The 25,306-nt window shown below is 37.5% G+C and overlaps 1 protein-coding gene and 1 long non-coding RNA gene across 3 annotated transcripts in view, besides 1 other annotated feature; both read left to right on the forward strand.

The window, feature by feature from the left end:
- Nucleotides 1-13,942, forward strand: part of LOC124904510 (uncharacterized) — a 54,613-nt gene extending 40,671 nt beyond the window's left edge. The window contains exons 3-4 of the long non-coding RNA XR_007066877.1: nucleotides 8,094-8,210; nucleotides 13,448-13,942. This is a non-coding gene — a long non-coding RNA (uncharacterized LOC124904510). The remainder of the gene's footprint in view (nucleotides 1-8,093; nucleotides 8,211-13,447) is intronic.
- Nucleotides 12,482-12,751: an enhancer, noted in NCBI's record as "active region_2534". NCBI's record gives its function as "activates an Ori minimal core promoter by ATAC-STARR-seq in GM12878 lymphoblastoid cells {active_cell/tissue: GM12878}" and the evidence as "EXISTENCE:reporter gene assay evidence [ECO:0000049][PMID:35858748]".
- A 2,408-nt stretch (nucleotides 13,943-16,350) lies between the features above and the next one.
- Nucleotides 16,351-25,306, forward strand: part of KCNK2 (potassium two pore domain channel subfamily K member 2) — a 231,549-nt gene continuing 222,593 nt past the window's right edge. For both annotated transcript variants that reach the window (XM_017001249.2, NM_001017424.3), the window contains exon 1: nucleotides 16,351-16,764. Coding sequence is in view for 1 of the 2 variants with exons in the window: in NM_001017424.3 (NP_001017424.1) it covers nucleotides 16,731-16,764 (34 nt within the window). In the remaining variant the exon portion in view is untranslated. The remainder of the gene's footprint in view (nucleotides 16,765-25,306) is intronic.

The raw sequence follows: 25,306 nt of genomic DNA on the forward strand, positions 1-25,306 counted from the left end.
CACATCTAATTCCTCAGCAAATCTTGCTGGCTGTACCCTCGAAAACTACCCAGGGTCTGAATGTTTCTTAGCGTCTTCACTGCTATTACCCTCCAAGCCACTATCATCTCCTGCTGGAATTATCACAGCCTTCTCCTCACAGTCACCCTGTGTGTGCACTTTGCTTCTCATGTTCTATTCACAAGGCAGCTGCCAGAGGGATCCTCTTAAAAGGCAAACCAGATCGTGTTATGCTTAAAACCCTCCACTGGCTTCCTAATTCACCCAGTGTAGCAGCCAAAACCATCTCAATGGCCAGCAAAACTTTACATGATCCCTTGAGGTGACCTCCATTGCCTCTCTGATCTTTCTATTCCTCCCCCTCTTCTCTGTCCATTCCAGTAGATGCCTTGCTTTTCTTCAAGCATGCAAGGGAGGTATGCTGCCAGCTCTGAGGCTTTGTATTTCCTGCCTGGATTCTCTTTCCCTGAGTATATCACCTCCCTACCTCCTTCCTGTTCTTGCTGAAATATCATCTTCTTGGTGAAGCCTTCCCTGACCACCCATCTTAGTTTTCCTTGCATCCCTATCCCCCTTCCCTCCTTTTTTTTTAAACCTTTGTCAATATTATCACTACCTGAATTACTATATAAATTTACTTATTTATTGGTTTGTTGTCTCTTCCTATGCAAACTGAGATGTAGTTTTCCAAAGGCCAGAAGTTTTTGTTTGTTGCTGCACCCTAGGTTTTAGAATGGTTGCTGATACTTAATAGGTGTTCCGTAAATATCTGCTGAATAAATTGTTGAACAAATACATTGGCTTCAAGTAAAACGTTAAAGATGAATGGAACAGATTAAAAGAAATGAATAAAACAAGTGAAGTGCTGAAGAATATTAGGAATATGGTTAAGAAGGCATATATTTCTGCTCTCAATTTGAAATAACATATAGTTATATCTACACTATGTAGTGAACATTCTTACAAACAAGTAGTATAAAGGAACATGGAAAAATAAAAACAATTTTTTTAGTATTTTTTTTTTTTATGAGACAGAGTTTCACCATGTCATCCAGGCTGGAGTGTAGTGGCATGATCACAGCTCACCGTAACCTCAATCTCCTGGGCTCAAGTGATTCTCCCATTTTAGCGTCTTGAGTAGCTGGGACCATCAGCTCATGCCACCATGCCTGGCTCATTTTTTAATTTTTTTTTTGTAGAGACAGGTTATCATTATGTTGTGTAAGCTGGTCTCGAACTCTTGGGCTAAGGTGATCTTCCTACTTCAGCCCCCTGGAATTATGGATGTGAGCCATTGTGCCCATCATCTAGACATTAATTTTTAAACATTTTCTTAAAAGTCAATGAAAATTGGAGTTACTTTTACATGGACCAGAGTTTAGCTGATTCCAAACTGTAAAAGCTACAAACTTAAAGAATCTTTTCTGTGAACAGTACTTTGGTTTTTTTTGATTCAGTGCAGTGGATTTGGTCTCAAGGAAGATGAGCTTGAACATCACCTGGAAGTTTGTTAGAAATGTCAGTTCTCAGACCACACTCCAATCTGCTGTGTCAGAAACTCTGGGGATGTCTCACTTGCATTCCTTGAACCACTGGCTTGGTGGGTGTGGAATGTTGTTCTTACTCATCATTTCCTCTCTTAGACATTTTTTCTCCCTCCTCACAATGTACGCACACACACATCATCATCATCACCATCATCGTCGTCATTACTGGACCAGTCTTACTACCCATTATGTCTTCTTAATTATCATTATCCATTATCCTCTGCTCCCTATACAAAGTAATATTTTTCCCATCTTAAAACACCAAACAAAAATTTAAAAAAATCCTTCTCTTGAACTTCCTTTTTCTTCTACTCACTCTTCCATTTCTCCCCTTCCTTTTGCAGCAGAACTCTAAGAAATTCTCCAAAAATTCTCCCTTTTTTTTGTGAACCCACTAAACTAGACTTTTACTGATACTTCTTTCCTAAAACTGCTTTTACCATCACTTCACTTTGTTAAATCCAATGAGTGATGTTTGCCCTTCATCCTACCTGAACTGCCAGCAGCATCTGATAATTTATCACACTTTCTTTCTTTCTCTCATAACTTCAAGTCACCACACTCTCTCAATTTTTCTTCAACTCAGTCATTTTTGCTAGTACCTTCTCATGTATTTGAGTACTAAACATGTTCTATTTCATTCTATGCCCATTCCTACATGGTTTTGTCTACTACCATGGCTTTAAATACCATCTATATGTTGATGACTCCCAAATTTCTGTCCCTAGACCCAACTGGCACCCTGAATTCTAGAGTTCAAACGGACACTCAAATATTTACTCACCATATTCATTTTGATGATTAATAGGCATCCAAAATGGAGCTCCTGTATATTCCAACCCATACCTCCTTCTTTATGGTCATTCCTATTTGAGTTGATGGTAACCTCATTCTTCCATGAGCAATGGCCAGAAACCTTGAGTTACCCTTGGCTTTTTTTTCTCTTTCACACCACGTCCAAGCTGACAGCAAACTCTGTTGGCTCTACGTCAAAATGCATCCAGAATTTGACCACTTAACATCTTCTCCACTGCCATTACTCTGCTCCACGCCATCATTAATGTTGCCTGGATCATGTAGGAGCCTCCTAACTGGTTTTGCCTCTTCTCTTGTCCCATGGAGTTAATTTGAGAATAAACAGCACCAGATTGATCCTGCCAAACCTTAGTTAAATCTTATCACTCTTCGACTCAAATCCTTTCAGCGATGTCGTCTCTAGCTCAGAATACAAAACAAAGCCCTTATAATGATTTAAAAACTCTTCCATGATGAGCCCACGATTATCTTTTGGATCTAAATTCCTACTCACACTGTTCTTGCCACACTAACCTCTTTGCCATTTGCTTAAACACTCCAGACATATAATTCCACTCCAGGTGGTTTTCCCTACACTTGCTGCTCTCTTCGCCTGGAGTGTTTTCCTCCAGGTATTCACATTGCTTCCTTCCTCATGTCCCTGAAGTCATTACTCAAAGATCACAATTCTGATGGCATGTTATCGTACATTATAATTCTCTCCGCTGCAGTTTCACTCTCCCTTTCATTTCTTTTCTTTTTTCTTTTTTTTTGAGACCGAGTTACTCTGTCACCCAGGCTGGAGTGCAGTGGTGCAATCTTGGCTCACTGCCACCTCCACCCTCCCAGGCTCAAGGGATTCTCCTGCCTCAGCCTCTGAAGTAGCTGAAATTACAGGCGCCCACCACCACGCCTGTCTAATTTTTGCATTTTTAGTACAGACAGGGTTTCACTATGTTGGCCACACTGGTTTCGAACTCCTGGTCTCAAGTGATCTGCCTGCCCTAGCCTACCAACGTGCTGGGATTAAAGATGTGAACCACCGTGCCCGGCCTATTGCCTTTCATTTATTTTCTTCTTGCCTTACAACTCAGCACTATACAACATTCGGTTCATTTTATCTACTTGTGTTGCTCATTGTCTCTCTTCCTTACTAGAATATAAACTTGAGCAAGGTGGAAATCGTGCCACTTTTGCTGTATCCCAGCATCTACAGCAGTGCCTGGCACATGCTAGGGACTTCATGCGTATTTATTGGAAAACAAAAATGAAAAACGTGAGCTCTTCATTTCAAAAAAAGTATTTCCACTCATCCACAGGTCTAAGGAATAATTTAAAATTCTTGTACTTTTAACAAAGAATTTACGTGTTTTTGTGATAACTTTGTTAAAGCCTATGCCTCCCTCTTGTTTCTTAGCAACATGAGGACTGCATCTGGGTCTGTTTTGCTTACAACTGTCTAGGGCAAGGACTAAGTGAGGGAAGCAAAGTATTTGTTTTGGGCATAAAAATAAATTTGGGATTGGCGGTGGGTAGAAGAACAAGGCCAAAGGACTCCATAATCAAGATAGATTATATATTTTAATGAAAGATTTTTAAAAAGTCAAAATTAATGCAAAAATCTGCGATAACATCATACCCAAATTTTGAGTAAAATTGGATCAGTATCACCAATTTCCTTCACCTCAAATTCCAATATGACTCTGTTTGGTGTTGATTGTATCCATTGGCACCTGATAATCATTTGTTGAATGAATAAATAAACCCAGCAAAGGTGTGGTAGGGTAAGAGGATATCTCTTGTGCTTTGGCTTTAATAACTAGAACAACCGACACTGACTATGGCTCAGGCACTGATCAAAGTGTCATACACATATGACAACTTATGTAAGCCCTCCCCAAACCCTATAAATAGTTATTATAATTAGCATCCCCATTTTACAGATACAGAAACTGAGGTCTAGAGAGACAAAACAACTTGTGTGAGTTCATACACTAGTAAGTGGCAGAGCTAGGCTTGATAGTAGCATTGTCAGGTCTTCCATGGACAGGAAACCTGATGGGTCTGCAAGATACCAGGAAACATTCCAGGAAAAGGGAATCTAAGCAAATTCCTTTTAACATTATACAGCAAGTTTGTACAGACACCATAATGAATCATGAAAACACAGGAAAAAGCAGATGTCATGATCCAAACACTAGGCTGGAGAAACTAATGTGGAATTATTTTATGAAGCATGTCAAACATATGGAAGAAATTACAAAGCAGGGCCATTATAGTTGTTTTGCTTTGTTTTGCTTTTTAGGTACCATTGGCTTCAAGAGCCAAGGTATAGTATAGAAAAAGAAAAAAATGAAGGGAAGAGAAATTATCCTATCCTCTGTAGTAGCAGACAGAGGTTGCTCTGATTTTTTTTTCATTATAAACTTTAAACCAGGGGTTCTCAACACCCTGGACCATGGACCAATATTGGTCCATGCCCTGTTAAGAACTGGGCCACACAGCAGAAGGTGAGCAGTGGATGAATGAACTTCATCAATATTTACTACATCTATGTCTATATTTACTGTATCTATATTACTATGTTCATATCTATATATACTTGATCTATATCTATATTTACAGCTGCTTCCCATCACTCGTATTACCGCCTGAGCTCTGCCTCCTGTCAGATCAGCTGTGGCATTAGATTCTCCTAAGAGTGTGAGCCTTATTGTAAACTGTGCATGTGAGGGTTCTAGGTTGCACACTCCTTATAAGAATCTAATGCCTGATGATTTGTCACTGTCTCCCATCACCCCCAGATGGGACCGCTTAGTTGCAGGAAAATAGGCTCAGGGCTCCAACTGATTCTACATTATGGTGAGTTGTATAATTCTTTCATTGTATATTACAATGTAATAATAATAGAAATAACGTACGCAATAAATATAATGTGCTTGAATCAATCCAAAACCATCCCCTCCTCAAACGGTCAGTGGAAAAAACAGTCTTCCATAAAACCAGTCCCTGGTGCCAAAAGAGTTGGGGACCGCTGCCTTAAGCCATCTTTCCCAGTGAGAAATTATTTATGGCATCCTTAGGAGAATTCAAGCACCTCACTATGCTCTAAATGGTTTTGCATATAAATGGTGAGATCACAGGTGGAGATCACTTGCTAGAGATTATTTACCAGTCTATTCATAGCAAATGCCATTGACTTTAGCCACACTAATTTGGAATTTATGCTACAGGGGTTCTGTTGAGGTTTATTATACTATAGAATAATTACCATTCAAAATGTGTAAGCAAGTTTTTAGGAAGTAACATTAACGTATTTAATCTAATATAATCTCTATACCCTTATCAGAGCATGGCCTCCCTTGCTGTGTGTGAAATAGTTTTATTGCATTTCTTGAATGTTGGGTGATAACAGATATAACAGATGACAGATATAAGTCTTACAGAAACACATTAAGGATAAACAAATGTGGGAGGACTTTCCTGTTTGAAGTCTATATTTTGAAACAAGTGGCAAAATACTTGAGTAGTCACATCAATTTGAATTCCAGGCCTTCAGCAAAAGCTTTTGATTCCCCTTTCCTGATCCTTCCCAAACCTTGCCTGCAGATGTATATTCAACTTGGACCCTGAAGCCACAGGCTCACCCTCCTGGGTGCCAAAACTATTCACACTGGCAGTTCCACCTATGTATTTGCACTAGAAAAAAATAAGAAAATAGAAAAGTAAAATAATAATAACAAGAAAATAAAAAAAATGTATCCAACCTTGGTCTCCAAGTGCAAGTTTGTATTTTAATCTAACTTATTTTAAGATGTGTTAAAATAAAGTCAGATTTTCTTTACTCCTCTTTTAGTTTTACATGAATTTCTGGGACCCTTTGGGAGCCCAAGGGGATTGACACTCTGCTTAGTGGTTTTTACAAGACTCTGTGGGTGCTTACACACCAGCACGAATTTTTTGTCATGTGTTCTTGGGAAGTGAGAATCAGATTTGTTGATTTTTGCTAGATGCAGGGAATGATTCTCGTCCATAGTCACTGAAAGCTCCTGTGGAAATAGACGCATTTTAAAGCAATGATTTCAAAAGAGGAACATAGGCCCAAAGTGCCATTTTTCAATGTAAGCTGTAAACTTACTTAGTATCTCTCAACAGGAAAATAAGATTCAGGGAATGCTGAGACCAGGTTCCTTTGATATTTCTTCAACTAAGCGTATGGCTCTAAGAAAAAGCAGGAGATTTATAATAGCGGTTCTGTTAGGCAATATCAAACTAGATTGCAGTCCTAAGTTACAGGCTGTAAGACGGCTGAGGCAAACTTGCTAAAATCGCTCTGCTATAAATTAGTTGTGTGGCCTTGGGCAAGATGTTTCTCTTTTCTGGGACTTGGAGTTTTGTGGGGTTTTTCTTCCCTCTATAATTTTTTTCTCACATTTATGTAAGATGAAATTAATAAGTTCTCAGATATAATTTCATTCATCCATTTGCTGAACAAATAAATGTATATTGATCGTCTACTTTGGTACCAGGCTATGACCAGGTGCTGATAATTCAGTGACAACTAGGACCAAGCTAGAGTTTAGAATTTAGTGATGAAGGACATACATTAATCAAACATCATTTGAAAGGAAAGTTATAAATGTAATAACTTCAAAGGGGGAAAATGCTTTGAGCTAAGAAAGCATCTATTAATAAAAGGGGAAATTGAGCTAGTCTACCATGGGTGTTATATTTTGTGCAAGGGATAATTTAGGAAAAATAAAGTGTTTATGATCATATTTTTTGACTCAAAAATAGTTTTACTAAATTTCATAGAACAAAATTTATGTTCTTATTTCATAATAGGGAGAAAAAATGTTTTAGTAGCATATATGAGAACTGAATTTCCTATAGGTAAAAATACAATTTCATTAGGAAAAACTAAGCTCTCAAAGCCTACATATAGATGAGAGAGAAAATGGGCCACATTTCTTCACAGCACTGAAGATGTAGGATAAGGAGAGGCAATGTCTGGAGTGGAGTGGCCAAGATGACAGATGGTGAAGCAATGTGAGATGTGTCGCTCTTATGATCCTTTAGGCATTAGAGCTACTAAATCCCACAAATCAATGCTGTGCGTCTTCGGGCTTTCACAAAAGTATAGCACTGGATTTGAGGTAAAGTTCAATAAAATTTCTGTGGGGAAGTGGGTCCAGAAAAATGTCTGAATTATACTGTAATTCAAATTATATAGTCGGGCGTGGTGGCTCACGCCTGTAATCTCAGCACTTTAGCAGGCAGAGGCGGGTGGATCACCTGAGGTCAGGAGTTCGAGACCAGCCTGACCAACATGGTGAAACTCCATCTCTATTAAATACAAAAAAATTAGCCGGGAGTGGTGCTCCATGCCTGTAATCCCAGCTACTTGGGAGGCTGAGGCAGGAGAATTGCTTGAACCTGGGAGGCGGAGGTTGCAGTGAGCCAGTAATGCACCATTGCACTCCAGCCTGGGCAACAAGAGTGAAACCCCATCTCAAACAAATAAAAATAAATAAATAAATAACAAATAAATAAGTAAATAAATAAATAAATAAAATGCTATATTAAGTAGAAGAGTGCTAAAGAGAAAATCGACCCTGGTTTTTAACTAATGAAATGGTATCTGGTCTCTCTGATGCTTGTATTCACATCCTCTCAGCTTCACTTCAATGTGGACTTCAACACACCTAATGACAATAGTATTTTCTCTTATGTGTACATTTCTTTTTACAGGTAGAGGACCACTCACTTGTCAAATTTGTTTGTACCTAGAAGTGAGCAGATGAACACCTCGGGGCATCCCTTAGGGAATGTGGGAGCAGATGAATAAATTCCCAAGCTGATCCTCAGGTGAACAATTCTAAAAGGCAATAATAAGCTTTTCATAAGGCCTCCAGCAAGACCAAGTGTTCATTACCCATAGCAGTGACTTACTAAAAAATTAGGTTTTCCCTTTTTCATTATTCTTTCCATTCCTTCTCTCCTGCTCCTTGGAATTACTCCTCAAATTGACTATCTACAGACAAGTCCTTATCTCAGGATTTGCTTTGGGGAGAAAGCCAAAGTATGACAAATAATAAAACCTGTGCATTATTTGGAAGAAAGCAACCTGGATGCAGCTTTCTATCTTTTGACCTCTGAATTTGTTAAGTCCTTTGGAATTCACAAGCTGATGTCATATTATTATTGCATTTCATCCTTGAAATTATCCTGAGTAAGAATTATTATTATCCTCACTGTACAGATGGAGAAACTAAGGCTCAAAGTGAGGAAGTGACAAGTGACTTGCTCAACGGCATGTGGAAGTTGCCCACATAGACCTAAGATTAGGTAATCCATTCAATACAACCTTCATGACATGCCTATTATGCGCCAGGCCCTGATCTAGTCACAGACGCTATCTCTTCCCCTTTTCCCCCTGGACTCTCTCTCTCTATGTCATAGGTTCTCTTCTTTCATTGGGCTGCCCTAGATCAAGTCCAGAAAAAAAGGGGCACACTGGGCTCAGAAGCCTCCAGCCCCTGGAAGGACTAATTGTTAGGACACTCAGGGTGCCATCTTCCCAGTGATGCTTCTGCCCTCAGAGGGCCAGAGACCCAATTTCTTCTCCCTTTACCTCAGAGGTGGCTTTGCCTCTGCCTTGATTTTACGCTTTGAGGCACGCTCAGGCTGACAGCCTAGGATCAACAATTCTAAAAAGACTCCTCATCAAAAAGGTTGTCTTGGTAGCTTTTCTAATTCCTCTGGTTGGTAAGTGTTACAATGTTATGATTGAAATTAGATGATGGAATATATCTCAAGGCTGTGTAGATCATGGTTCACTCCTAACTGTTTTGTTTTTGTTTTTTGTGGGGGATGGAGTTTCACTCTTGTTTCCCAGGCTGGAGTGCAATGGCGTGATCTTGACTCACTGCAACCTCCACCTTCCGGGTTCATGCGATTTTCCTGCCTCAGCCTCCCGAGTAGCTGGGATTACAGGCCTAATTGTTTTGAAGTGTGTTGACTCTACTGTAGTTTATGAATGAATATTAAGTTATTCTTAAACCACAGATAGGGAACAACCAAGTACAAATGGTCTAATTCCTAAAAATGAACCATAAATGGGCATAAAATTTAAGTAAATGATCCTGATTTGGATCAATAATACTGAACTGCCAGCCGGCAAACTAATGTGTATGCCCTTCTTTAGAAATCAGAAATAAGAACGATGAAAATCAAATCACTGGCTGAGCATGGTGGCTCATGCCTGTAAGCCCAGTACTTTGGAAAGCCGAGGTGGGCAGACCACTTGAGGTCAGGAGGTCCAGACCAGCCTGACCAACATAGTGAAACCCTATCTCTACTAAAAATACAAAAATTAGCCAGGCATGGTGGCACGCACCTGTAGTCCCAGCTACTCAGGAGGCTGAGGCAGGAGAATCGCTTGAACCCTGGAGGCGGAGGTTGCAGTGAGCCAAGATCACGCCACTGTGCTCTGGCCTGAGCAACAGAGCAAGACTCCGTCAAAAAAACAAACAAAACAAAAAAACAAAAAAACCCCCCAAAACTCTGGAGCTTCTGTGGTTCATAAATTTTTCATTTTAATATCTTACTTCATAACATCTCCATACAGTACTTAACAATTTTACATGGTATAAATTTTGTATACTATAGCAAAGGGAAATAAATGATTATACATATAAGACATCATGTATATATATCACTATATAATTACATATAAATACATCTCTCTCTTTATATAAAAGTACTTATGTCTAACCATATGTATAGAATTATATACATACATATATACACACAGATGTCTTACCTGGACTCCTTTGAAAATTGAGCTTGAGACAAGAGTTAAATGCTAATGCTTTATTGGGAAAAGAATCCCAAGATGACTAGAGTAAGGGAAAGGAAAATGAGGCAGAGAAAAGTGGGAGGCAAATACAAGACAGTGTGTTACCATGCTGACCATGGCTTCACAAAGATCCACAAAGAGACACAGTCCTGCCATCGTCAGCTGCATCCCTGCTTGGCCTGTGTGGCATTGTTTGTACAAATGGTGTGGCAAAACTGCATCTAAACAGCCATCTGGGGAAGAAGTGAGATGACACTTGTATGCCATCTCTATTCCGTCTTCTGCTTGTTGTGGGTGAAAGTTTGCCCCCTGGAAGTTGTCTCCCCAACACTTAAGAAGTTGCATTAGTTTGTCCTTTGGCAGCTTTGGGGAAGCCAGATCCTACTCCATGTGGTGTGTATTTCTGGAATCTAAGTTTGGAAGTGATTGGAGGAACCAGGGACTCCAGAAATGTTACTTGTTTGGCCTCAGGTATAAAACCATGCAGCAGTCTCAAAGGTAGGTGTCAGGTCAGTGGCTGAGATGGAGGAAGTTGCTGAGGGTCTGAGAAGTAGGTGAGGTCAAGAGAATATGTAAGGCCATAAGGTGTGTTTGACACAACACAAGTGTATGTATCTAGACACAGCAATAACTATAGTAACAACATAATATATATTTTCAAATATCTGCGTTAATGGTGAAGACAGAGCTGTATATAAGCTTGTATAGAATACAAAATATATCAAGCTTTGGAATTTGTGTTTGTTATTATTGAGATCCAAGTAAAAGCCTAAATACAGAATAATAAAGATGTATTTAGAAGACCTGGTTTAGGAAGCTAACGAAAGCTATCTTTACCTCCCTATTTTTGCCCTTGGGTTAACCACTTGCAGTAAAATAATGGTTTCCTGGAAATAGACAGGATGGTCTTCCCCAAAATGCCAAGAATAAAATGCCTAGGATGAGATTTCTTCCCAGAGCAGAAGAAATAGATCTTTGGATTTCAAAGAGCTTCCCTCTAGGTTGCCTAGAGAATAAACAAAAAGAACCAAGGAACCAACCACGCAAGTGGAGAAGCTGAATCAATAAACTTAAAATTCAGAAAACTGCAATATAGATAACAGACTTTTGGTATACAAGACCAAGAGTTGTGAATACTTAATTATAAATATATTTTCCAGATGCTATAGGAAGAGATCTATGTAGGAAAAAGTTTGCATTCTGGAAATTAAAACTGTAAGAGATCAAAATACAATTGTTAGACCAAAATAGTTATAAACAGAAATTTAATATGTGAGCAAATGTCAAAAGTAAGTTGATTTTAAAAATAAAGGGCAATTAGGTTTGGGGTGGAGTTCTGGAAGTACCCAACCAAGTTTCATATAGAGAATGGAAGAATGCAAACTCTTGAAATGCAAAAGGTTTGGGGAGATAAAAGTACTTTTAGAAGTCTTTAATTGTGTGTTTGGTACTCAAGAATGCTGCGATCACTGTTTTTATTTATTGATGTCAGTCCTAGTACAGGAATTTGGACAGCCAGTTTAAGGTAGATAGAGGTTGCCCCATGGAAATGAAACCTCTACAGTCTGGAGTTCCAGACTGGTGGCCTATGGGGTAAATCATGCCTACAGGTGTTTTTCAAAGTGTTTTAAAAATCAGGAAATATTACATAAAATTTCAGGCTTCTTTAAAAAAATTTAAGAGCTGGCCATTCTATGCACTCAGTCCTTCAGGGAAACCACTGGCTGGAGTTGAGTAGTAGGAGTGCCTGTAATACAGTGCTCTCCAGTGACCTTATTCTCACCACTCTTTTATATTGAATCAAATCCATTCAATCATTCTTGTCTCCTGTAGGCAATTGATGTTGCGACTGCTCTCCTACCCAAACAACCATCCTTCTTAAAATTATCCCAGAGAAGTGTCATCTTTTAACTGCTTGTTAGTGTTTGTCAACTTTGGTTCCACCATTCTGAGTGGTTTTATTTGGCTCTAATTATATGTTCTTCATTGTGGTGTCTGGCCATATCTCTAACTCAGCTTCTGACACAGGTGTCATAGATTGGTGTTTTGTCTGTGCTTTCTTGGGACACATCCCACCCACTCCAACTTGGGGTTTGGTTTCTCTTTTCTGCCCTGGTACTGAAAGCTAACTCTAGTTTCACATGTTGAGGCATTTGATACTGTCCTGGGTCCATCCAACTGACTGAATATGACTCGCTTCCTACCATCAACGTGCCTATGGTTAATTGGTTGCATGAATAGCTCCAACTTTCCATGCCTCCATATATGCCCACATCCCTTGGTAGTGAGTACCTTCCCACACTGACTCTGAGTTTGACCTTGTATCTTGCTTTGGCCAATATGACCTGAACAAATTGACCTAAACGCAGGCTTTAAAATGTGCTCATACATTTTCACTTCCCCTCTTGGCTCTGGTTGCCTTGAAATCATACTTAGGTTAAGAACATGCTTGGGCTTGCCTGTGCAAGGAAAATGAAAGACCTGTACTAGTGAGGCCACCTTATATCAGCCTGCAGTCAGCTCAGTTTCATGTTAATGAGTTTGGCCAAGATCAGCAATCACCTACACAACCTGCAACTCACTGCCCGAATGAGCCCAGATGAGATCAGAATTGTCATGTTGACCTGTAGAATAGCGAACAACAATAAATGCCTACTGTTCTAAGCCATTCCATTTTGTAGTAGGTGTGTTTCATAGCAATATCTGATACAGTGTCCCAATTAGTGAGATTTTGGTTATATTTATGACATAATTTTCTCATGAGAAATGAGCCTATTGGAAGAGCTTGTGCAGTTACACACTTAGCAATATGCCAAAAATAATTCTCATTATATTTTGAAGTCACCCAGAAGAAAAAGAACAGAAAATAATTGAAGGGTTGCTTTGGGGTAGGTTGTTTAGATTCTGGAGAATGTAAACATGTCTCATCTAAAAACTGAACATATTCTGGGGACATTCAAACCCAATGTTTGTGTTGTAAGTGGCATTCCAAACCCATTTCCACAAAGGTAGAAGGATTGTGGGCTGGCATATAGAAAATATTTCCAACAAACCATTGAATGTCCTGTTACTTCGAGGTCTTTATGTAGAAATGCAAATGGAAATAAGTGCATTGGGGGACCTCAGAAGGTTTGGCAGTACATTCTAGATGCTTATCTGAGCCACACGAGTTAGGAATCTGGGATGGAAATCTCCTAAGAATAACCATTCTCACGAAATTTCCAATCCCTCTTGTTTTTGGCAGAATTTAAAATTCCGTGGAAATGGCTCATGTCACAAGACTTCTGTGTGGTGCTGGCCAGCACCAGGAAGGAGAGCAGCCCAGGAAAGGAAAACCAAACCAATGTGGCTGCATGTTTTCACGCCTTTGAAAAGGTTTGGGTTTGGCTCAAATGAAGAAAAAGCACTTGGGGTTTTTATTTTGTGCCAGTTTTTTCAAATACCATTTACCTGACTCATGAAGCTTTGAACATCAGGAAGAAACAAGGGAGTGAATAAATTTTCAATATTCTTGAGGTTCAAACATACTTGGAACAAGACTCCTTGCTGGGAGAAAGAACAGAATACCGTTGGAGCAAGATGTATTCATCCCCACCTTGCTGGGGGTCACAGTGACAATGCAATTTGTTTATCAGTCAACTCATTATGTACCAGAAATAGAGGTGAGATCAAGGTATACAAGACTTAGTTTTTCCCTTTAGATAGATCACATGAGTAACAGGGACTAACCTGAATTATCCTGTCATTTCCAGAAGTCCTCTGCAATTTTATTGTTTTTTTGTTTGTTTATTTTTGTTTTGGTTTTGTTTTGTTTTTTTGAGAAGGAGTTTTGCTCCTGTCGCCCAGGCTGGAGTGCAATGGCACAATCTCAGCTCACTGCAACCTTCGCCTCCTGGGTTCAAGAAATTCTTCTGCCTCAGCCCCCCGTGTAGCTGGGATTACAGGCCCGTACCACCATACCTGGCTAATTTTTTGTATTTTTAGTAGAGACAGGGTTTTACCACATTGGCCAGGCTGGTCTCGAACTCCTGATCTCAGGTGATCCACCGAACTCAGCCTCCCAAAGTGCTGGGATGATAAGCTTGAGCCACTGCACCTGTCCCGCTTTGGAATTTTAGAATCCAGTAATGCACATTATTTGTGTTTTTGAGAATAATTTTGCCATTTCACTCATCTCACTATTGCATACGCTAACTCCGCGACCTGTAATGTTCTATCACCTGTCCTCTGCTTGTAAAATTCCAGTTTCTCTCCCAAGTCCAGCTAAAACTCACCCTTAATCTTGCCAAATGTAATTAACTCCTCCCTCATCTTTGCTATTTCCCTACTTTGCACATATTTATATTATTGCATTTAACACACAACGTTGCATTCTTAACACAGTGCCTGGGGCATAGTAGATGTTTGATAAATAGAGATGGATTGTGCAATACACCACTACAAAACCTTTTCCCTTTTTGTAACACAGGAGCCCTCAATCAACATTAGCCTCATCCTTATCTCTCAACCAAATACTAATCTACCATTTGTCATTCCCGACATGACTGTTGTCTCAGCAGCTTCCACACACTTTCTCTGTCCTTCAAGTCCCTCTGTCAGCCTTCTCATGTACAAATATAAAAGGTCAACAAATGCTCATGGAATAGTACTTTTCCATCAGTTGGCCCAATTCTAAGGTGCTAATTTAAAGCGATCTTAACTTCCGGACTCTAGCACCATTTATAGCGCTGCATTACTTGATGTCTTATATTATGGTAATATTTGGATTTACAATACAGAAACTCCCATGAAGTTATAACAGGAGAAGGATAATTTGATTTAGTTTCTTTTTCAGGTTGCCAGTGACTGAGTACTTCAGATTATAGTGTGAGATAGTACTGATGAGGCAAAGGTCAGGGGTTCACATCTCTGTCTGGTCCACATCATATTATTATTTTTCAATTCTCTTTCCATTCCTCTCAATCTCAGCCAAATTTCCTACAGATTAGTGCAATTGAGTAAAGGGATATCCAGAAAAGAGGGCATAGGAAGGGCCTAGTAAAAACTTATTACTGGAAAAAAACAGCTGACAGTTTATGTGCTATTGCTGTGTGTGTGTGTGTGTGTGTGTGCGCGCACATGAGTGTGTGCCCATGGGAGGGCCATTTTTTGCATGTGCACAAAAATAAGTGTCTGTTTCTCATATGATCTGAAAAGTATTCATTATTTCAGTCAGATGGAAGGATTATGTTACTTGAACACTGGTATTTAATGTACATTATCACATTTATTACCATATCAAAACCAGATGTTTAAAATTGGGGCTAGAAATTCCATCATACAGATTGTGTTACTTCAGGACTACCCCACTACCTAATGTTCAGCTGTATTTTGTTATGGCTTTAATAGAGCAATAATGTGTTTCCACAAGTCTTAGCCTGATATTAGATGACATGTGGGCTAAATTTGGTGGGTTCAGCAGACTGGTAGGGGGTTATACAAACCAGAGCAACAATAAGGAAATATGTGAAAAATTATTGCTAATAGTCAAGGCCTCTCTCTCTCTCTGTTGCTCTCACTTTTGCTGTCTCTCCTTTTCTCTTCTCTTCTCTTTTATTCATTTTTCACTCCTTAAGATTTGTTGTCATTTTTACTGTCTCCAAATGTCCCTTAAACTTCTTCCAGAGGCAGCATCTACCTCTAATTACTAACTTTCTTATCTCAGCAAAAACTATTTAAAACTTTCCTCTTATTTGACTTTTTTACATGGCTTCTACAATCATAAAACAAGCATGCTCAGAAATCTGATAACATTTCTGATTTAAGAAATTATTATCGATGCAATTTAGATAAGGTAAGATAAAAAATAAAAGCCTATATGGAACGCAGCCAACGATTCATCTGTTTGCATTAATAGGTTCCAGCAATGGTTCTACAGGCACGGAAAGCCAAGCCGGTTTGCCACTGCACTTAGCAAGCACATGAGCTTAAAAATAAACTTTTGACAATGCAGATCTCTTTGTCCTTTTGGGAATGGAAAACATTATGTACTTCAAAGCATACTAAGCCTGATTTGAAAATATAGTTGGGATATTGTTACTGTGGCAGTTGGGAGGGTCTTTAGCCTTCACACAGTGCGTGGATGCTTCGTGTGTAAATGCTTGAGCCACAAACTTGTGAGAATAAGTGACGCTGGCAACTTTGATATGCTCATTCATAAGGAAGAAACTTCTGTCTTTTAAATTCTCTGGAACAACTGGGATATAGTTCCTCATTTTAATCAGGGAATTTCTTCCTGAACCAGACTGTAAAAACAGAGGATTTGAGTAGCACATTTCACTTGCATACAGCAGCGTTTGTTCGTTTTGAGTGTTTTTGTACAGGAAACTGATCTACAGGGTAACATTCACACACAAAAAGGAAACAGTATGGGACGATGGCTTGTTAGTACAAGTGACTCTGTTTTGGAAATTACGGACAAGAAACCTTGGAGGAAGAACGGCATTAAAGATCAAAAGCATGATGACTCCTGATGAAAACATCACCAAATGATGAACCCACGAGCAAAAAGGGATTTCTACTGTGAGTATCTTTGCAATAATCAAGTACCTTATTTGTTTTCAAATTTTCTAGAGTAGGCTGAGTAGATTTCCAAGCAAGTATTTGATGTAAGGAGTCTTCATTATATGAAAGTCTATAATTAAACTCATTGGGTGGTTCCAACAGAGGGTTAGTTGCTGGAATTTTTTCCATGACCTTGCAACACTGAAATAAATTGCACGTTAATTCGGTCATGTTTTATACAACAGGCATGTTACATCAGGCTTTTATTTGCGATGTGTTACTTCTGGCAATGTAAAAATTGATCAACATGTGTATCTATAAATTCCATTGCATTTAGATTCTGGTAATTTATGTTTACTTTGGTTTCATGCTGTGGTTAGTCCTGTCATCAATTTGTTCATATACAGATTTACACATATTATTTGTAGTTTACTTAGAATATTAGTTATTTCCTGAGGGAATCTTATGTGTATATTGGGAAAAAGGTGGCTTAGAATCTTGGAAATGGGGAAGAAAAGGTACGATAGTTTAAACTAAATCTTGAGAACTAAGACCTAAGTTCTTTTTACATTTCCATAGTTTATTTAGCAAGTAGTTTTATTTGAAATTATTTAGATGTCTCTATGTGAGACTTCTCACTTCACAAGAATACTGTTGTGGTCTTAGAAATGTGAATAAAACTCATCAAAAGTATAATCCTATGTACATATTAAATGTAGCAAAGTCCATCTTTAGTGCCTGTCATATAGTATGTACTAAATAAATATTTTTTGAATGCTGAATAAATGCTGGTGTTGGGTAATAGGACACGTTTCCTGTTTGTATAGTAATCATTTTACAGCAGGGTTTAATTTTATGAATGTATCTTTCAGTGTGATTGAATTCTATTTAACAAGAACTATATAATAATGGCATTACATTGTGTCACTTTTTTTCCATAAGGAATTTCCTCAAAAATCAAATTTCTGGCTAATTGCTATTCTTGGTTGTTTTTCTCTTGAAATACAGAAGAGTTTGTTCCACATTGGAAGGGTATCACTAAGTTTGGGGACCAATTCACTATATATATATATATATATATATATATATATATATATATATGTGTGTGTGTGTATATATATATGTGTGTGTGTGTATATATATATGTGTGTATATATATATGTATATATATGTGTGTATATATGTATATATATGTGTATATATATGTGTATATATATATGTATGTATATATATATGTATGTGTGTGGGTATATATATATATATATATATATATATATATATATATATATAGGCTCATTTCCAATTAGTATGTAATGTCCAGGTTCTGTTTTGTGGCATTGGGACTTGGGATCAGCACTTCTGGAGCCCCCTTTGCTGAGGGTTGATGGGTTGGACAAGACACTGGCCAAGTCCTCATGGGATGAAGACTACTTTTTAGGTTTAAGGGGCATGAAAATAAACTCAGAGGTGAAGGTGAAGATCAAAAGGCTCTTGGAGTTAAATTGAGTAGCTCTTGGAGTCAAATTTCTAGAGTGGCAGAAGAGAAACAAGAGGTATGGAGAGAGCTGGAGAGGTTAGGTCAAGCTACAGATGCCATCTCCATCTTATCTTGTGCCAGCTAACACTGTTCTAGTGCTCTAATTTCTTCTCATATCACTTAGTATAGACATGTGCTAAACTGAACACATGTCCTTCTGCTGCCACAAGTAGGAAACAAAAATGCTGTATATGTGATTTGATTGCATCTGATTAGAAGTAGTGGTGAAATCCTTTGGGTAGAAACTGACCTCAACTTCAACTAAGCAACGGTTATCATTAAGGTAAACTACTTTTGTATAATCATCTATAGCATTGGATATAAGCTTAACGTTGGATAAGCTTATATTATATAAATGTATATAACATCATATAAAACAATAGATAAATTTAAATTATCCCATCAACAGTTCTGTTCAGTCTATTACAGTAAATTAATCCAGGCAAATTGCAAATCTTTCAGAAGCAATTCTAATTAAAACAAGGCATTCTACAGGAATAGCTTGGAAGTTCTTTTAAGAATTAGGAAGTTGGTTGATAACCTGCATGAACACTTTTTCAGGCTAAAAGCATCTGGATTTATTATGCAAAATTCTGGGACCTTGACCAAGAAATGACACAATATTACAGAAGTCCTAAGTCTTTTTTTTTTTTTTTAAGGAAAAGGAAGCCATCTGATTATAATTTGAAAGCCAAGTAAGGTATGGTAGAATGATTATGATTTTGAGGATTATCTTCAAAAGGAAACCTGTAGGTTTAGATCCTCCCACAAGCAGGATCAGGATGTAGTTATTGATGACAAATGATAACTTTAGTTTTTATGGCATGCTATATTTTTTTCTGGTTACTTGTTTGACATCAAAATTTCTATAGCCAGAGCCATCTAAAAATTTGTTGCACCAGGAGGAATGAGTTCCCTGCCACTAGTGAAATGTAGATGATGAGGCTCAGCAAGGAGGAAAAAACAAGTATTTTCAGTCAGTCAAATTAGTGATGGAATTCCAGACCCCCTACTTATAAACAGAGTGACTTTGGGCAAATTACCTAACTACCAAGACTGTGGTTCCCCATATATAAAACAGGATTAATAGTTCTTCCCTCCTGTACTTTTTGTGAAGATTAAATGAGATAATTAATGTCAACTTTTTGGTAGATAGTAAGCATGCGATAAGATGGTTAAACGACATGGGCTTTAGAGACCTTTCTAACTTTGAGGTCCTAGAAATTCTAGCTGTTTAAAGTAACCTAAATTCCTCCACTGTGCTCAATGCTATTCAAAGTTGCAACTCAATAGAAATATCTATTCTCCACCTAATAGATTTCTAATAGAAAATTGTAAAGCAAATCTACATGTGCAGTAAAAAAATGAGTAAGGGAATCAGAATGCATGCTTTTTTTTTAAAGAAAGTAATGTGTTCTGTTTGCTTTAGATGCTTTAGATGTGTAGGTGATCTAAATCAATTTGATTTGTCATTCTATAGTCCTTGATGATTAAGACGGTGGAAACACCAGATTGGCCATTGCTAATTGATTTTCCCTTTCATCTTTGGTATATAACCATGTCTAATCATCTTAGAAAAGCCACTGTAGCCAACAAAGTCATTCTCAGAAGAAATGATTTTTTTTTGAAAGTTTAAGGGCTGAAACTGTTCATCTTTAAAATGTATCCTATAGTAGCTTTCTATGGTGTCTGCAAAAATCAGTATTAGGTGGGGAGTGTATTTTGATGATTTAGTTTATTGTGTCAATTTGTTCCAAACACATATGCAAAGCACTTGGGCAGAACCACCATTTTTATACTACTACTTAAACTGGCTTAAGCAATGTTTACACATCACAGATATGAAATGACAATCTAGCTGTTAGATTTGCTATCTGGAAAATTACTGTATTTGTGAGAGTGTCAGCAGCAGCTATTAAAGAAAATAATATCTTGCATAGATATAGTGCCATTTTCTTTACAAAACCATTTACATATATATATCATTTCATTTTATCTCACTTTGAAGTGGAGAGAGAAGCTATGTTTACTTCATTTGCTGCATAATGTGAATAATAAACCCAGAAATTAAGCAGAGTTGTCCAATGAAAATGGTTATGGAGTAATGAGACTTTGCATCTAGTATAATTTGTTTAATAGTCTTATGGCCATCTCTGATTTTTATCCAGAAATATATGATTCACCTGCTTCTCTAATGCTTTAATAGTGGTCTTAAACTTGAGAACTAATTAACTCTTACTTTGTATTGTGTCATCCACAGAGGCCCAACCAATCTGGCACAAAAAAAAGATATAGTATAATTGAGTACAGACCCAATTAGGTGTGCAGAAAAACCTGAGTGTCTGGAATTCTCTGTCTTCTCTACTATAAGTATATCCCAGACACTTCAAGAGAATGAAGTTATTCATATTTATTCACTTATATTTTTCATTTTACAAAGGAGTCAATTACAAATGTGCTCTTGGCTACCTTTTCTGGCTGCTGAGATAACATGGACTTGGACAACTGTATTTTATGTGTGTGTGTCTCAAATTAACAGTGACAACATCAGCTAAAACAATGCTTCACAGTTCCTCAAAAGCTGATAAACTACCTCTTAATAGGAATAGATTTTGAGGCTTGGGGCATAGTTACATCTGTTTATTTGAGTCTAGTAATCAGATGTCTTCCTTGGTATGAATAAGAGTTTCAGCCAGGTGCAAGAGAAAAACATATAACTATGAAGCAGCAGGTCCAGATATTTTTCGCAAGTTAACCACCAGTTTATTTAGAAGAGAAGTGCTGAATTTTTTATATGAGTAGCTATGTATTTGCAATATTCTTTTAGTTCAGTTTTTAATTTTCTTTTCATTTAAAAGCTTAACATTACGCATTCTGTACAATGCTTCTGATTGGTGGCATTTCATGAGAATGCAGTCTTAAAGAGGAAATCGTAGAATAGAGGGCTTCGATGCATTTTGAATTTCACTGAATGAATCTTAGAGAAGACCTTGCTCTGCATGTGCATAGCTCAGACTGTGTTATCCTTATTATTCCTCCCTCCTATGAGAGAAACAGACTCTAAGGTTAGACTAAGTGCAGCAGAGCTAATAGAGGTGCGATTACAAGTCATTAAATACCATGACGCCAAAGTGTTTTGTTTCCATTAGGCTGCTTTTGTTCTTTTGAAACCCGAGGTAAGAGGTCAAGGTGAATTGAACTGCAATGTGTAAAAAGCAACCAGCAACTTTTCATACCTTGGCTTTCAAGAGTTCTGAGTAGTGTGAGCCTGAGTTCTCACTTCTTTTCCTTCATGTTTTTAAGGTTTGTTTTATTTTTGAGAAGGGTATAGGAGCCTCACTCCCTCAGGGTAGGATTGTCTGCTCACAGGACACAGATTTTTTTTTTTTTTTTTTGTGTGTGTGTGTGTGTGTGTGTGTGTGTATGTGTGTGTATATAAACACATATATTTAAGTTACTTTATATTAACTAATATATATTATACATTACATAATATAAATAGAATAATAAAATATACTTATATATAATATTGTATTAAATATATATTTAAGTTACTTTTAAATTTACATCAAGTAAAATTCACTATTTTTTGTGCGTATAGTTCTATGAGTTTTGATACAGAGTCTTGTAACCACAACCACAATCAAGATATAGAACGGTCCTTCACCCCAAAAATATTCCTTTGTGCTTCCCGTTTGTGGTCAAAACCTCCTCCATCTCAAACTCCTGGGACAACTTATTTGTTTTTTGTCTTTATAGTTTTACCTTTTCCAGAATTTTAGTATAAATGAAATCATACAGTTTACAATCTTTTGAGTCTGATTTCTTTTTTTGTTGAGACAGGGTCTCACACTGGTTGTCCAGGCTGGAGTGCGGTGGCACTGCCTTGGCTCACTGCATCCTCGACCTCCTGGGCTCAGGTGATTCTCCCATCTCAGCTTCCTGAGTAGCTGGGACTACAGGCACACGCCACCACATCGGCTAAATTTTTATATTTTTAGTAGAGATGGGGTTTTGCTATGTTGCCAGGCTGGTCTCAAACTCCAGGACTCAAGAATCTACCTGCCTCAGCCTCCCAGAGTGCTGGGATTACAGGCGTGAGTCACCATGCCCGGCCTTGAGTCTGATTTTTTTTTATTTTTATTTTTTGAGATGGAGTCTCACTCTGTCGCCCAAGCTGGAGTGCAGTGGCACCATCTCAGCTCACTGCAACCTCTGCCTCCTGGGTTCAAGTGATTCTCCCGCTTCAGCCTCCCGAGTAGCTGGGACTACAGGCGCGTGCTACCACGCCCAGCTATATTTTTTGTATTTTTAGTAGAGACGGGGTTTCACCATGTTGGTCAGGATGGTCTTGATCTCCTGACCTCGTGATCCACCCGCCTCGGCCTCCCAAAGTGCTGGGTTTACAGGCGTGAGTCACCGTGCCCGGCCTTGAGTCTGATTTTTTTTCACTTAGAGGAATGCACTTACATTCATCCTTCTTGTTGTTGTTGTGTGTGTATATCAGTAGTTTGTTTCTTTTTATTGCTGAGAAGTATTTTGTTGTACCAGGGTAACTCTGGTACAATAAAACACCAGTGAAGAACTTTCAGGCTGTTGCCAGTTTTTGATGATTAGGAACAATGCTGCTCTTAACGTGCCCTGGACATAGTTTTTTTGTATAAATGCAAGTTTTCATTCTTCTAAATACCTAGGAGTGGGATTGCAGATCATAAGGTAAATGTACATATAACTCTATAAGAAATTACCAAACCGTTTTCCAGAGTGGCTTGACCATTTTGCATGTCCACCAGCCGGGTACGAGGGTCCTAGTTACTTCGCATTTTTGCCAGTGCTTGGTATTGATGGCTTTTTGTTTTTGTTTTTATTTCTTACCCGTTCTAATAGGTGTATAGTGGAATCTCACTGTGGTTTTAACATGTTGAATATCTTTTCATGTGTTATTTGCAATCTGATTATCTTCTTTAGTAAAATATCTGTTCAAATCTTTTTTCTTTTTCTTTTTCTTTTTTTTTTGAGACAGGATCTCACTCTGTCACCCAGATTGGAGTGAAGTGAACAATCATAGTTCACAGCAGCCTCTAACTTCTGGGCTCAAGTGATCCTCCTGCCTCAGCCTGCCAAGTAGCTGGGATTACTGGTGCACACCACCACACCCAGCTAATTTTTTAGTTTTTTTTTTTTTTTTTTCTGTAGAGTCAGTGCCTTGCTATGTTGCCCAGTTTCGTTCATCATTATTATTTTTTTTAACTGGACATTTGCTTCCTTATTGTTGGTTTTGAGAGTTCATTTTAAATTAAGGATTTAAGCCCTTTATTAGACTTGTGATTATCAGGTATTTTCATTAGGTTGTGTTTTTCATTCCCTTAGCCATCTTTTATGGAGAAAAAGATTTTAGTTTTGATAAAGAACAATTGATGAACTTTTTTCTGTTATGGGTCATACTCTTGCTGTCATAGTTAAGAATTTTTTCCTAATTCGAATTTATGAAAAATATTTTTTGTGTTTTCTTTTTTCAGAATATTTGTACTTTTATGTTTTACATTTAGGTCTATGATTCACTTCAAGTTAATTTTGTATAATTCAAATTTATGAAAAATTTCTTTTGTGTTTTCTTTTTTCAAAATATTTGTAATTTTGTGTTTTACATTTAGATCTATGATTCACTTCAAGTTAATTTTGTATAAGATATGAGGTGTGGGTCAAGGTATGTATTTTTTTGGCATATGAATGTCCGATTGTATTAACACAATCTGTTGGAAAGATTATCCTTTTTGTATCAAATTGCCTTTGCACTTGTACTAAAAATCAGTTGACCTGTATACCATAATTTAGTACCACTAATACCATATTTTCTTGACTGACACAGCTTTAGAGTAAGTCATGAAGTCAAGTAGTGTGAATCTTCTAAATTTGTTCTTCTTTTAAAAAAATGTTTTCTAGGTCATTTATCTTTCCACACAAATTTTAGAATCAGCTTGACAGTATTTATGTCGGGATTTTAATTGGGATAAGTGTTAAATCTGTAGATAAATTTGGAAAAAATTGATATCTAAACGATACTGAGCCTTCCAGAAGAAGTGAGCCTTATTTAGCTCTTCCTCAATTTCTCCTATTTGGCTATTCTTTGATTTCTCTTTGAACACCACCAAACGGATTTTGCATATTTTTGTTAGATTAATATCTAGGTATTTCATTTTTAGGGCCATTATAAATGGAACTTTGAAAAATGTCTGTTTCCAATTTTCATTGCTAGTATATAAATATATGTTGGATTGATTTTTGCATATTGACATGTCTTACAAATTTGCTAAACTCATTTCTTACTTCTAGAAGGTTTTTGGAAAATTATTTAGGTTTTCTATATCAATCATGACATCTATGAATAGGATAATTTTATTTCTTCATTTCCAGTCAGTGTGCCTTTTATTTCGTTTACTTACCTTGTTGAACTGGCTAGGGTTTCAGTACTATGCCAAATAGGAGTTGTGGGAGCAAACGTCTTTGTGTTTTTCCTTATATTGGTGGGAAAAGATGTTGTCTTCATTATTACATGTGTTAGCTACAGTTTTTTAAATAGATACTCTTTATCAGGTTAAGGAAATTCTCTTTTATTCTTAGTTTGCTGAGAGTGTTTATTATAGATGAGTTTCAGTTTTTTCAAATGCTTTTCCTGCCTCATTTAATATGATCATGTGATTTTTCTCCTATCGTTTGTTAGCATGGTGAATGATATTGATTGAATTTTGAATGTTGAGCCAGCCTTCCATTTCCAGGATTAACCCCACTTAACTGTAAGACAGTTCTCTTGTTTGCATACTGTTGGATTAAATTTGCTAATATTTTGTTGAGAATTTTTACATATATGTACATGAGAGGCATTCATCCATAGTTTTCTTTTTCTGTACTGCCTTTCTCCTGCTTGGTGTCAGTGTATTGATGGCCTCAAAAATGTCAAAAATTCTCAATTTAAGGCTCTCAGAATATACTGATGGTATTGTAGTGTTATATTTAAATTAACAG

Source organism: Homo sapiens, chromosome 1 (genome assembly GCF_000001405.40).
Source record: "Homo sapiens chromosome 1, GRCh38.p14 Primary Assembly".
In the NCBI taxonomy this organism is placed as follows: domain Eukaryota; kingdom Metazoa; phylum Chordata; class Mammalia; order Primates; family Hominidae; genus Homo; species Homo sapiens.